Raw genomic sequence first — 15,452 nt, 5'->3', positions numbered from 1 at the left:
AAGTCCTTGGCCATGCCTATGTCCTGAATGGTATTGCCTAGGTTTTCTTCTAGGGTTTTTATGGTTTTAGGTCTAACATTTAAGTCTTTTATCCCATCTTGAATTAATTTTTGTATAAGGTATAAGGAAGGGATCCAGTTTCAGCTTTCTACATATGGCTAGCCAGTTTTCCCAGCACCATTTATTAAACAGGGAATCCTTTCCCCATTTCTTGTTTTTGTCAGTTTTGTCAAAGATCAGATGGTTGTAGATATGCGGCATTATTTCTGAGGGCTCTGTTCTGTTCCATTGGTCTATATCTCTGTTTTGGTACCAGTATCGTGCTGTTTTGATTACTGTAGCCTTGTACTATAGTTTGAAGTCGGGTAGCGTGATGCCTCCAGCTTTGTTCTTTTGGCTTAGGATTGACTTGGCAATGCGGGCTCTTTTTTGGTTCCATATGAACTTTAAAGTAGTTTTTTCCAATTCTGTGAAGAAAGTCATTGGTAGCTTAATGGAGATGGCACTGAATCTATAAATTACCTTGAGCAGTATGGCCATTTTCATGATATTGATTCTTCCTATCCCGGAGCATGGAATGTTCTTCCATTTGTTTGTGACCTCTTTTATTTTGTTGAGCAGTGGTTTGTAGTTCTCCTTGAAGAGGTCCTTCACATCCCTTGTAAGTTGGATTCCTAGGTATTTTATTCTCTTTGAAGCAATTGTGAATGGGAGTTCACTCATGATTTGGCTCTCTGTTTGTCTGTTATGGGTGTATAGGAAGGCTTGTGATTTTTGCACATCGATTTTGTATCCTGAGACTTTGTTAAAGTTGCTTATCAGCTTGAGGAGATCTTGGGCTGAGACGATGGGGTTTTCTAAATATACAATCATGTCATCTGCAAACAGGGACGATTTGACTTCCTCTTTTCCTAATCGAATGCCCTTTATTTCTTTCTCTTCCCTGACTGCCCTAGCCAGAACTTCCAACACTATGTTGAATAGGAATGGTGAGAGAGGGCGTCCCTGTCTTGCGCCAGTTTTCAAAGGGAATGCTTCCAGTTTTTGTCCATTCAGTATGATATTGGCTGTGGGTTTGTCATAAATAGCTCTTATGATTTTGAGATATGTCCCATGAATACCTAGTTTATTGAAAGTTTTTTTTAGCATGAAGGGCTGTTGAATTTTGTCAAAGGCCTTTTCTGCATCTATTGAGATAATCATGTGGTTTTTGTCTTTGGTTCTGTTTATATGATGGCTTACGTTTATTGATTTGTGTATGTTGAACCAGCCTTGCATCCCAGGGATGAAGCCAGCTTGATCGTGGTGGATAAGCTTTTTGATGTGCTGCTGGATTCGGTTTGCCAGTATTTTATTGAGGATTTTTGCATCGTTGTTCACCAGGGATATTGGTCTAAAATTCTCTTTGTTGTATCTCTCCCAGGCTTTGGTATCAGGATGATGCTGGCCTCATAAAATGAGTTAGGGAGGATTCCCTCTTTTCCTATTGATTGGAATAGTTTCAGAAGGCATGGTACCAACTCCTCTTTGTACCTCTGGTAGAATTAGGCTGTGAATCCATCTGGTCCTGGAGATTTTTTGATTGGTAGGCTATTAATTATTGCCTCAATTTCAGAGCCTGTTATTGGTCTATTCAGGGATTCAACTTCTTATCTTGTTTTAGTCTTGGGTGGGTGTATTTGTTGAGGAATTTATCCATTTCTTCTAGATTTTCTAGTTTATTTCCGTAGAGGTGTTTCTGGTATTCTCTGATGGTAGTTTGTATTTCTGTGGGATCGGTGGTGATATCCCCTTTATTATTTTTTGTTGCATCTATTTGACTCTTCTCTCTTTTCTTCTTTATTAGTCTTGCTAGCGGTCTCTCAATTTTGTTGATCTTTTCAAAAAACCAGCTCCTGGATTCCTTGATTTTTTGAAGGGTTTTTTGTGTCTCTATCTCCTTCAGTTCTGCTCTGATCTTAGTTATTTCTTGCCTTCTGTTAGCTTTTGAATGTGTTTGCTCTTGCTTCTCTAGTTCTTTTAATTGTGATGTTCAGGTGTCAATTTTAGAACTTTCCTGCTTTCTCTTGTGGGCATTTAGTGCTATAAATTTCCCTCTATGCACTGCTTTAAATGTGTCCCAGAGATTCTGGCATGTTGTGTCTTTGTTCTCATTGGTTTCAAAGAACATCTTTATTTCTGCCTTCATTTCGTTATGTACCCAGTAGTCATTGAGGAGCACGTTGTTCAGTTTCCATATAGTTGAGCGGTTTTGAGTGAGTTTCTTAATCCTGAGTTCTAATTTGATTGCACTGTGGTCTGAGAGTTTGTTATAATTTCTGTTCTTTACATTTGCTGAGGAGTGCTTTATTTCCAACTATGTGGTCAATTTTGGAATAAGTGCGATATGGTGCTGAGAAGAATGTATATTCTGTTGATTTGGGGTGGAGAGTTCTGTAGATGTCTATTAGGTCTGCTTGGTCCAGAGTTGAGTTCAAGTCGTGGATATCCTTTTTAACTTTCTGTCTCGTTGATCTGTCTAATGTTGACAGTGGGGTGTTAAAGTCTCTCATTATTATTGTTTGGAATCTAAGTCTCTTTGTAGGTCTCTAAGGACTTGCTTTATGAATCTGGGTGCTCCTGTATTGGGTGCATATATATTTAGGATAGTTAGGTCTTCTTGTTGAATTGATCCCTTTAGCAATATGTAATGGCCTTCTTTGTCTCTTTTGATCCTTGTTTATTTAAAGTCTGTTTTATCAGAGACTAGGATTGTAACCTCTGCTTTTTTTGTTTTCCATTTGCTTGGTAGATCTTCCTCCATCCCTTTATTTTGAGCCTATGTGTGTGTCTGCATGTGAGATGGGTCTCCTGAATACAGCACACTGATGGGTCTTGACTCTTTATCCAATTTGCCAGTCTGTGTCTTTTAATTGGAGCATTTAACCCATTTACATTTAAGGTTAATATTGTTATGTGTGAATTTGATCCTGTCATTATGATGCTAGCTGGTTATTTTGCTCGTTAGTTGATGCAGTTTCTTCCTAGCATCAATGGTCTTTACAATTTGGCATGTTTTTGCAGTGGTTGGTACCGGTTGTTCCTTTCCATGTTTAGTGCTTCCTTCAGGAGCTCTTTTAGGGCAGGCCTGGTGGTGACAAAATCTCTCAGCATTTGCTTGTCTGTAAAGGATTTTATTTCTCCTTCAATTATGAAGCTTAGTTTGGCTGGATATGAAATTCTGGGTTGGAAATTCTTTTAAGAATGTTGAATATTGGCCCTCACTCTCTTCTGGCTTGTAGAGTTTCTGTCCTGAGATCAGCTGTTAGTCTGATGGGCTTCCTTTGTGGATAACCCGACCTTTCTCTCTGGCTGCCCTTAGCATTTTTTCCTTCGTTTCAACTTTGGTAAATCTGACAATATTTGTCTTGGAGTTGCTCTTGTCAAGGCGTATCTTTGTGGCATTCTCTGTATTTCCTGAATTGAATGTTGGCCTGCCTTGCTAGGTTGGGGAAGTTCTCCTGGAGAATATCCTACAGAGTGTTTTCCAACTTGGTTCCATTCTCCCCGTCACTTTCAGGTACACCAATCAGACGTAGATTTGGTCTTTTCTCATAGTCCCATATTTCTTGGAGGCTGTTGTCCTTGCTTTTTACTTTTTTTCCTCTAAACTTCTCTTCTTGCTTCATTTCATTCATTTGCTCTTCCATCACTGATACCCTTTCTTCCACTTGATTGAGTCGGCTGCTGAAGCTTGTGTATGTGTCACGTAGTTCTCATGCCATGGTTTTCAGCTCCATCAGGTCATTTAAGGTCTTCTCTACACTGTTTATTCTAGTTAGCCACTCGTCCAATCTTTTCTCAAGGTTTTTAGCTTCTTTTCTTCGAACATCCTCCTTTAGTTTGGAGAAGTTTGTTATTACCGATCGTCTGAAGCCTACTTCTGTCTATTTGTCAAAGTCATTCTCCATCCAGCTGTGTTCCATTGCTGGCGAGAAGCTGCGTTCCTTTGGTGGAGAAGAGGCACTCTGATTTTTAGAATTTTCAGCTTTTCTGCTCTGGTGTCTCCGCATCTTTGTGGTTTTATCTACCTTTGGTCTTTGGTGATGGTGACATATAGATGGGGTTTTGGTGTGGATGTCCTTTCTGTTTGTTAGTTTGCCTTCTAACACTGAGGACCCTAACCTGCAGGTCTGTTGGAGTTTGCTGGAGGTTCACTGCAGACCCTGTTTGCCAGGGTATCTCCATTGGAGGCTGCCGAACAGCAAATATTGCAGTACAGCAAATGTTGCTGCCTGATCCTTCCTCTGGAAGCTTCGTCTCAGAGGGGCACCTGTCTGTATGAGGTGTCAGTCGGCCCCTACTGGGAGGTGTCTCTCAGTTAGACTACTCAGGGGTTAGGAACCCACTTGAGGAGGCAGTCTGTGTGTTTTCAGATCTCAAACTCCGTGCTGAGAGAACCACTACTCTCTTCAAAGTGTCAGACAGGGAAGTTTAAGTCTGCAGAAGTTTCTGCTGCCTTTTGTTCAGCTATGCCCTGCTCCCCAGAGGTGGAGTCTGCAGAGGCAGGCAGGCCTCCTTGAGCTGTGGTGGGCTCCACCCAGTTCGAGCTTCTGGGCAGCTTTGTTTACCTACTCAAGACTCAGCAATGGCAGACGCCCCTCCCCCAGCCTCGCTGCTGCCTTGCAGTTCAATCTCAGACTGCTGTGCTAGCAGTGAGTGAGGCTCAGTGGGCGTGGGACCCTCTGATCCAGGCGCAGTATATCATCTCCTTGTGTGCCATTTGCTAAGACTGTTGGAAAAGCGCAGTATTAGGGTGGGAATGTCCCGATTTTCCAGGTACGGTCTGTCACGGCTTCCCTTGGCTAGGAAAGGGAATTCCCTGACCCCTTGCGCTTCCTGGGTGAGGCGATGCCCCGCCCTGCTTTGGCTCACACTCTGTGGGTTGCACCCACTCTCCAGCAAGCCTCAGTCCAACAACCTCAGTTGGAAATGCGGAAATCACCCATCTTCTGTGTCGCTCATGCTGGTAGCTGTAGACTGGAGCTGTTCCTATTCGGCCATCCCAGTCTTCTCTCTTATAGCTAAGGAGACTGAAGTGCAGAGAAGTACAACCAGTTTTCTAATGTCTCTGAGCTAGTTTAGTGGTAGGTGATCTATAGAGTATGAAAATTTGAAAGTATGAGAACAATGGCCTTTTGATGTATGCTAAGGCTGTTTGCAGGGCTGTATGAAAAACCTTTTAATTCAGCTGACCTGTTTTTAGTCAGTGGTTTTCAAGTAATTGTCTCTGGCAGATCCCAGATGATTCCAATGAGCAGTTGCTCTTCTGAATGATTGGAGATTGACCCTCTAATATGTAGAGAATAAGCAACTTCACCCTAAAATCTGAGCACAGAATTTTCTGACAGACTTCTTCCCAGAGGCCGAAATTGGTTTCAGATCTATCATTTCTCGGAGTCAGTTCCAGGTGTTGACCACAACTTTTCTTCATCTTTGAAGGTTTGGAAAAAATATATGCACATATATATATAGTTAAAATACTATATTTTGGAAGGCCATGGATTGATTGTGATAGCTTGAATTCATAGCATAGTAATTTATATAGAGCAAAAGGCAAGTTATCATTGTATGAGTGAGGACTATTGCTATGACTGGTAAGCCATAGGGTAGATATGGTCATATGTGAATGTTAGGCCATTTTTATTCCTAGATTCCCAGATCTTTGAACTTCCTTGTTTTCTGGCTCACGTCAGGAAAAGGTTAGAAACTGTTGAGACTTAGAGCTGGGGCTTGAACCTGGTTCTCTTGATTCTTCTGGAGTGGTGCTGTTTTCACCAACCCACCCTGTAAGTTTACAGCTATTCTAGGAGTCTCTGCCATTTATGTTCTTTTAGTTGCATACTATATGGATGAAGAGACTAATGCAGTGTAGAGTTTTACCAGGGCTGGTGAAGTGTGATAATGAGGTCTGAACCACAGCAAGGCACCATTAGGCTTGACTAATACTAAATTACTTTGCCTTTAGTCATTACGAAATTAGGGTTTGTGTATTTAGTGTGTGCTTCCTGGGGAAACCTATGTGTCCTTTATTCATTCAGCAAGTATTCAAGCACCTTGCAGCATTTTGGGCAGGTTACAAAATGGTGGGAAGAGATTACACGCATACTTAAAAGCATATACCTACTATAGGTTCTGGGTTTAGTGATCATAGGTATAGGACTTGTAGAAATGAGGTAGCTGCACAGAGTAGTCATAGATGCAGCATATAGTTTTTCTTGCCCCTTGCCCACAGGGTGCACAGCTTCTTGAGACAAACCTCATGCGAGTCAAGTTCTGCCATATTGAGTACCTCATACTCCACACCCTTTTTAGGATTTTTTATCACCGTTTCTGAAGAGCTTAACATTTACAGTCTATGTGATTCATTTAAGTACATGTTTATAAACATGGGGCTCTCCTGGATCCTCTACCAGGATCAGTGTGAGCAAGGCCAAATCCTCCCTGAAGGAGAGAAAATAGAGACCATTCCCACGTGTCCCTGGATCATGTCTCTGCGTTAGCTCTCCAGTGTCTCTAAAGCCCATCCTTTGATGCTGATTTTGATGGTTCTAATACTGAGTTTAGAAAAATCTTTTTCTTCTGTACGCTTACTATGTTCTGGGTACTCCATTATGGGTTTACATAGTTAAGAAACTGTAAGAGTCAGATATTGTTGGCCTCATTTTATAGCCCAAATAAACTGAGGCCCGGAAGGATTAGTAACTTGTCTGAGGTCATTCATATTAAATAGTAGAGCCATGATTCATTTCTACATCTTTCTAATTCCAAAGGTGGCCCCTTGCCCTTTTTATTCTGCCATGTAGCCAAGCATAGTGTTTTTGGGTCAGTGTTTTTCAAATCTTTTTATGTTCCTCTAGTGGAATGCTTGTAGTGATTTTTAGGATAAATTAACCCAGAATGATATCACAGCTATAAAGAACTATTTATTGAAGGCCTGTTTTTTTTTGTGCTTTTTTTTTTTTTTCCATCTGCTTAGCCCCCTTGAAATCAAGTGGCATTCTTTTTGAAGGGCTTAGTGGCTTGTCAGTTATTTGCACTCAGTATTTTCCCCTTAAGGGTACTATATTCAATTTGTAGATAACCTTGGTGATAGATAATCCTCAGCTGGGACAATCTAAATGTCATTTACATTTGAGGGATTATCCCAAATTTACCTTCCTAATAACATTTTATATTATCCAGTGTTGAAATGTTGGAATGAATTACTTGTCCTGACTAGTCTCTCTTGTCCTTCGAGTTTTACTGTCTTTGCCACCTCCTACCCCCACCCGATTCCGTCCGGAGTAGGTACGGACTTCTCCCCATTATCTGTAACAACGTGAGTCAGTTGCACTTAAATTACTTTTGAATGGCTTTCTTTCCATAGTGCTGAGTAAAGTACTAATGAGGATGGCAGCTAGAATGTAGTGTGGCTCCTAGAGTAGAAATACATGTTTTCTTTTCCTGGCCTCCCATAGCCAAAATTCAGTGACTTTTCAAACCCCTAATGAGAGGACCCATTTCTTTTGTTCATGAAACCCTAGTACTAGTCAAGGCAAAGTGTAGCTCCTAGTTCTTAAATGATTTAACAGATAAAATACTAATCAGAGCTCATCTACTACAAGGGACATATTAACCAGATTTGTATATCAGCAAAGTAGGCTAACCTTTCCTTTATAGCCTAATGTCTGAGCAACGTGATAAACTAGGTTCTCTTGAACTGGCTCTGGACACTTAACTGCTTCTTGGGCTAGCACAAATACTGTAATTAGCATCTAATGTTATTATAGTTGAAAGATGATTAGAAAGTGGACATATTTCGTCATTTCTCCACAGAATTAAACAGAAGATCGGGAGGTGTGTAGGACCATAACTTGTGTCAGAGCCCATAGTGAATGAATATTTTATAAGAAGAAATTTGAGGGGGCCAGAGCATTTGTTAACCACAACCTTCTTAAGTTTCTCCCTTCTTCCTTTAAATGCATACATTTATCATCACTTACCAGTCTGTGATCATTGGCTGTTGTATTTTAATTAGCAATTACTGCAGAGTATCTCACAGCTGACCCAATGCATAATTAGAATAATCATGGGAGTAGACTTTGCAAGCTGGCTTCCTGGGGACTTGGGCAGAATTTTAATGTTTTGCTTTAGCTGCTAGGACTCTAACCTCTGCCTTTCCCAATTTTCAATAATGTCTCCTTTTTTTTTTTTTTGACACCCCATGGCTACATAGGGTTTTGTGCAGCCGGGGCCTGTAATAAGCCTTTTCTGTTCATCAGATACTTAAACCTTAGTGTGAATCAGTTGTGGAGGGGTGGTGGAAATCAATGTTATTTCATGAAAATCAATGTGCTACTTCTTCCAGGGTATTATTTCTATTTTAAGTCTGATCTCTAATGGTGAAATAAATGTGGCTCATAAAAGGAATTCATGGACGGGGAAAGGAAAAGGTTTGTGTTTATGTGGGCTCCTTCCCCTATCTGAGAAATCATACCTTCATTTCAGAGTTGGCCCTGCTTTCAGAAATTTAATTTATATATATTTATCCCATCAAATGTTTAATTCTGTTGTTCATTTGACATCATCATTGAAAATTCTCATTTAATTCATACTAGCCAAATAGGTCAATCATTCACCAGTCTGACATTTTTCTATGTTAATCTCATTTCACTCAGTCCTTTGGAAACTACTAGATGAAAGTGTCATTTTATTAAAATTTCATATCAACTTGACCCTGGAGTATGGGCAGTTGGCAGAATTATCATCAGGTGTAAATTGTAGTCTGGGCTTCAGGTGCCCATGATCTTTTTTGGTTTGGTCATGTGTATTAATGACTGTGCTGCACCACCTTTAACAGAGGCTCTGGGAAAAATAGGCCATAGAAATTTGAGGATATTTATAAGGAAAAAATGTCTAACTTTACTATGGAGAAGTAAATGAGGTTGAATGGAGTCATTTCTCTCTCCCTCTCTCCCCCCGGTCTCTGTGTGTGTGTGTGTTGCGTTAAAACAAAAGAGCATCTCTTTATCTTCACTGTATTCATCTAAAAGGTTTAGGCTATTTTTATTCCCTGTTTCAGTCTAAGAGGGAATAAAGAAACATGAAAACACTATAGGTAATATTTCATAAGGACCATTATGATGGAGATAAGGCTGATAGTGAGTTGGTTGTATGCTCCTCTGCTAAGATCGTATTTTACCTGAAACATATATGAGATTTTGGCATTTGGTCCAAAAATCAAGAGACTAGATAAATAATAACCAGCTTTAAGACAAGGACAGGGAATATGCAAGTAATAAAGTATATTTACTGCTACCAGGAGTCCTCATCATTTAGACATTTAATTTTCTTTGAATGAAAGCATAGATACATGGCTGTGTTTCTCTAGTGTTCCCTGTAGTGTCTAACATTTATGAGTATTTAATACATTTTTATCATAATTAATATCCCAAATGGATTGGGATTTTCTCTGGGGGATGGTATAACTGGAGGCTTAGGAATCTGTGGCAAAGATTAAGTGTTTTTTTAATGAATTACTGTTTGGCTGTGTGTGAGGGCATCCTGATTTACTTAATCATTATGTTCCTTGTGTGGCAGGGTAGTCTTTCACGGAGTGATGAGAGTCAGGCTACTGTTTATGGTATTGGACACATGGTGTGGAAAGAGCATAGGCCTCAGAGTTAGATGGAGCTGGATTTGAATTACAGTTCCAGTGCAATATGGAAAATGTGGACAGTTTCACTTTTCTTGCAGGATTAATATGAGAATAGAACTACTGCATGTAAAGGACCAGGCAGGACAGTCTCCTGATAAAGATAGCTATTACTATTACCGTTTAGACAGAGATATTGAATCCATGTGACCACTAAAATAAGCAGGTTGCCCTACTCTCTGTGTCAGTGATGGTTTGCATATTGGCTGATATCCTATCACAGTGTATTAATTCCTAATAGTTGTTGAGTTCAGTTCTAAGTGCCTAGAAGAGAAGAGAGTGGGATGTCTTTCTCTGGGGAAGCTTGCGGTTTAATCCGGGATACATAGGGATAAACTATTTGCTGAAGTCTATGCAACAGACACATGCTTTGGCATTCAGAAGAGAGAGAGTGCCCCTATGGGAAGGGGAAGTCAGGATGGATTTTATGAAAAGGTTTACACTTGAGAGGAATCATGAAGAATGGGTGAAGTTTTGACAGGCAGAGGTAGGTATAAGGAGTGGGATCAAGGTATTAACAATAAGGCAATGAATAAACATATTTTCTTTTGCTTTTTTGTGTTTTCGTTTTTAACATAACAATAACATAATCAAATGACCTTTGGAAGGCACAACATCAGTCTCCTTGTGATGAGTGAGGCAGAGATAACATAAACAGTGGTGCTTCTGCTGGTGTCATTCCTGAGCCTGAGTTTAGCATTTTTATTGAAAATTAAGATGAACACTTAATAAATTTATGGATAACAAAATTGTACTGAGATGGTGTTAATCCACAGAGGCAGGTGGGTGGGAGTGGTTGGGGGTGGAGAATACAGTTAAGCTTTAAAAAATCTTCTGCACGTTAGACTCCTGATCACAGGGATATAGAATGGCATTCAGTAGAAATCTAAGAATTGGTAGTTTAATTCTGCTATGAAAATAAAAAAGCCAAGCCCAGCTGGATAGGGGAGTTCATAAAAATTCACAAAGACTTGACCTGGAAATTATCACACTTCCTTTTATATGAGCACAGTCAGGCACTGGGGACCTTAGGGCCATTGTAAGACTTAATTTCCTGAACAGATATGAAGAACATTTACAGGTTACAATAAAAATAGCTACCATTTTTTGAGTGTGTACTATTTTATGTGACAAATAATAGTTAACATTTATTGAATATTTGTGGCAGGCCTGAAGATAGGTACTATCTTCTACTTCTCAATAGCCTTGCAAGGTGGTAGGTCCTTACCCCTATTTTACAAATCAAGAAACAAGCTCCAGAAGATTCAGTGACTTGCTTGAGGGCCTACATGAAAAAGCCACAATTTCTGACTGACTCTAAAGTCCATGTTTGCCTCACTTTACCATGTTTTTTTTCCACTAAAAAAATTTAATATGCGCAAATAAGCATAGAAAACCATATCTACGGAAGGATGTATACAGTATGTTATTATTTATATAAAATTGGAAAACAAAACTATCCATTTTTATGTATTCATACTATACAATAATCGTGTCAAATGTTCATAAAAGTGGTAAACATCCAATTTAGCATTCTGGTCACTCTGTAAAGGGAAGGAAGGAATAAACTGTATCCGTAGTGTTTATTTTTCTTTAAAAAAAAGAAGAGAAAATTTGAGACAAATGTGGAAGAATGTTAAAATTTGTTAAAGCTGGGTTATGGGTATTTTATGTTATTTTTTATACTTTCTCTGTTTGAAACATTCAAAAGATGAAAAACAAAACCAGGCCTAAATTACCAGATAGAAAGCTTTGGTGGCATTTGCATTGGAAGAAGGGAAGAGCTAGACAGTGCGTGCACCTCTAAGGTCTCTCTAGGCCAGCTGTAAAATTCTGTGGTTTTCTGATGACCAAGGTCCCTGCTAGTTTGACATCTTTATAGCTTTATAAATCTAAGATACAGAATGATGATTCAAAGAAAATTCTACCTATTCTTGTTTCTCTTTTTTTTTTTTTTGAGACAGAGTCTCGCTGTTGTTCCCCAGGCTGGAGTGCAGTGGTGCGATCTTGGCTCACTGCAACCTTTGTCTCCCAGATTCAAGCGATTCTCCTGCCTCAGCCTCCTGAATAGCTGAGATGACAGGCTCCTGCTGCCATGCCCTGCTAATTTTTGTATTTTTAGTAGAGACAGGGTTTCACCATGTTGGCCACGCTGGTCTCAAACTCCTGACCTCAAGTAATCCTCCTGCCTTGGCCTCCCAAAGTGCTGTGATTACAGGTGTGAGCCACTGCACCCGGCCTTGTTTCTGTTGTTTTTAAGCTCTTGAATAAAAGCATGATTTTGAAGTTTCTGAATCTACTCAAACGCAGTACGATATTTTGAAAAGAACCTGGGCTCTGAAGTTAGACTGACTGAGATTTGAATCTCAGCCTTGCCACTTGATACCCTGAGACTGAGAACAAGTTACTAAACCTCTCTGAGCCTCTGCTGCTTCTGTGAAATGAGGATAAGACTACTTCCTAAGATTGTTGTGGCAGTTAAAGATGACCTGTAAAGAGTGAAGCATATGATGGGTACTCATAGTAGGCTATTTCATTTGGCTTCTGAAGCTCTGTACAAATATTAATTTCATTCAATTCTATGTCCTAAATATTCCTCATGTCTATTCACAGCTCTGTATTCCCAGGGCCATCACCCCTGTTCAGGCTGTATTCCTCTCTTTCACCTAGTCCTCATAAATGGCCTCTTAACTGATCTCTCTTTGTGTTCACACTGGCTCCCCTCTTTTTTTTTTTTTTTTTTGCTTTCTGTAATCAGATCTTTCACAAACCCAAATTAGACCACACTCTTTTTTCCTTGCTTATTTCAGTCTTTTATATTCCCTTTTGAGAACTCCCCTGGCTGTTGCTGCCATCCTCTCTCATTTTCTTTCTCACCACTGTTACTGCAACTGAAGTTGCATTTCATGCCTCACCTATACTGAATTTCCTTAGTAACTTGAAAGTTCCATATGCTCTCTTATCTCTTGCTTCTTGTCCTTCTTCCCCTTCACCTTGCTCTAAGTATCCTTTCTAATTCTTACTGATTCTTCAGGTTTCATTTTAAATCTCAGTTTCTCTGATAAGCCTTCCTTGACACCCTAAGAAGGTTAAGTCTTCTTGCTGTGTTTTGACCTCAGCTGCCCTTCTCCAGTCTTCATCAAACTTGTATTATAATTTCGTGTTTGAAGTCTGTGCTCTACTCTCGCCCTGCACATTTAATGAAAACAGAGTGCATCATGGTCACTTATATCTGCAGCCTAACTGGCAGATCATAGATGCTCAATACATGTTGGTTTGGTTGAGTGAATGAATGAATGAATGAATGAATGAATTTTAAGATTGATCAAGTCCTTCTCCTATACTTTTCTCAATGTGTGTTCTTGGTTAATGACCTGATTGACCCTCAGTTTTCCAACCTCTGAAGTGAGATAACACTATCCAACTCTAATGTGTTGTGAGTTACAAGTGAGCCAATGGACATAAACTGCCTGGCACGTAGTGAGGACTGAATGAATACTATTTTTCCTTTATAAATGGGAAAACAAGAACAATAGAGATTTCCCAAGAAATGTAAGTGTGCTTTTTAAATATAAAAACAAAAATATTACTTATTTAGATAGTAGCACACAATATAGCTTTCTGCTTATAAATCCAAGTATAGCAAGTCTTTGAGAACCTATTATCAGGGGCTTGTCTCAGCAGAGGTTTATAATCCTGCTCCTACCTAGCAGTGCTCCTAGGCCATTTCTAGTGTCCCAACTTGACATTCTGTCCATTCTGCTCCTTAATTGCTAGTTGGAGAAGGTGTTCAAGACTGTATTCCACCTGTTTGTTACACATGTAATGAACATTCTCCTATGGCTCTTATGTTCTCAGTGGAGCTATCTATCTAGCCCTCCGATTCTAAACCCCAGTTCTAAACTTTTCTTTCCCAACTATGGTGGTTGATCTCTGTAGCTAGGATTTCCAGCTGTCTTATGGAGGGGAGCCAGGTACCAACACTATCTCTCACTCCATTTGGTCCTAATTTATTCTTTTGGGGCCATTCTTTTTAATTCAGATGTATTAAGACTAGGATTTTTTCAAAGAAAATAAAACTGTTTGAATTGTAATTAATACATGCTGTTGTAGGAAATTTGTAAAGCAAAAATCAAAAGGCAAACAAAAATGACATGTCATTTTATTTCCCATTTGTAAGCACTGTTGAGAATTTGTATTTTTTAAATCTTTGTCCTTTCCTTCAATGATAAAAGTTTACTGCCAGGCATGGTGGCATGCATCTGTAGTCCCAGCTACTTAGGAGGCTGAGGCAAGGAGGATTTCTTAAGCCCAGGAATTCAAGTCTGTAGTACGCTATGATCACGCCTGTGAATAGCCACTGTATTCCAGCCTGGGCAATATAGCGAGACTCTGTCTCTCTTTTATTTTATAAAAATAAAGTTTTATTTCTTTTTAATTTTCTTAAACAATACATATTTATAGAAAATATATAGAGAACAACAAATGTCACCTATAGTTTCATGGCTCAAAGATAATTATTGTTAATGTTTTTATGTATTTTACTTATGACATTTTAAAAAGTAAAAATTATATAGCAAATACATGGATAGATTCTCCTGGTAAGTTTTCAAAACTTTACAGATAAAATGAATGTACCCTTTGCCCCTCTCCCATTTTTCCTCCAGAGTAACACTTTTGTTCATTTAGTGTATATTCTTCTGAAGACAGTAAGACTTGTTAGTGGCATCTAGTGGGTAGAGGTCAGGGATGCTGCTAAACATCCTATAAGGCACAGAACTCTCCACACATCTCCTGCTACAGATAACTGTCTGGCCCAAAATGTTAATAGTGTCACTGTCACAAACCCTCCTCCAGAGCTTGTTTTATGAACATACACATACACATACACATACACATACACATACACAGTGCACATGCACACAAATAATTTAGTGTTTGTGTGTATATATATATATATATATGTATAGGTATTTCTTTTTTTGAAGAGACAGAGTCTTGCTCTGTTGCACAGGCTGGAGTACAGTGGCACAATCATGGTCAGTGAAACCTTGAACTCCTGGAATAGTTACATATATATATATATATATATATATATATATATATATATAATTTTTAATGTAAGTGGCATTATACTTTAAGTATTGTTTTGCTTCTTGCTTTTTGCATTTACCAGTATACCTTAGGGATATTTCCAATTCAGTTTATGTAGTTCTACCTTATTTCTTCTGTGCATAGTATTCCAGAATATGAGTTTTCAATATTTTAGTCAGTCAGTTCCCTTTATGGTCATTTAGGCCATTTCTTAGATTTTTAAATATCTTTGTACATGTTCCTCTGTATTTCTCTAGAGAGTGTATTTAGAAATAGAAATACTGGGTTACAAGATATTACTTCTAGAAATATGCTTTTAAAGAAAGATTTGGATTGCATTGCACATACAGTTGTATTAAACTACTCTTTTTGTTTAACATTATGTTGTGACACTGACAGGGACTGAACTATTGGTTTACCAAACCTGTTTTCTCTTTTTTTCTGGAGTCATGAGTAGACTGTTTCCCACCCCACTTTGCAGGTACTTGTGGCCTGTGACTCAGTTCTGTACAATAGAATGTAAGTGGAAGTGATTTTTGCTGCTTCTAGACCTGGCACATAAAAGACTTCCCTGTTGTAATCATCCATGCTCTTTCCAACTGCTAGGTGGATACCAACACTA

At 39.0% G+C, this 15,452-nt stretch overlaps 1 protein-coding gene across 11 annotated transcripts in view, besides 1 other annotated feature; it reads left to right on the top strand.

The window, feature by feature from the left end:
• The window catches only part of TTC28 (tetratricopeptide repeat domain 28), a 701,827-nt gene that overhangs the window by 465,610 nt on the left and 220,765 nt on the right, over positions 1 to 15,452 (top strand). The gene's annotated exons all lie outside the window — the stretch shown is intronic.
• Positions 4,169 to 5,368: an enhancer, noted in NCBI's record as "CDK7 strongly-dependent group 2 enhancer chr22:28604851-28606050 (GRCh37/hg19 assembly coordinates)". NCBI's record gives its function as "activates an origin of replication core promoter dependent on BRD2, BRD4, P300/CBP, MED14 and CDK7 cofactors, with strong dependence on CDK7, by STARR-seq in HCT116 cells {active_cell/tissue: HCT116}" and the evidence as "EXISTENCE:reporter gene assay evidence [ECO:0000049][PMID:35650434]".

This window comes from Homo sapiens, chromosome 22, assembly GCF_000001405.40.
Source record: "Homo sapiens chromosome 22, GRCh38.p14 Primary Assembly".
Classification (NCBI taxonomy): Eukaryota; Metazoa; Chordata; class Mammalia; order Primates; family Hominidae; genus Homo; species Homo sapiens.
The sequence above is the reverse complement of the archived record's forward strand: the minus strand, read 5'-3'. Positions and strand labels throughout refer to the sequence as shown.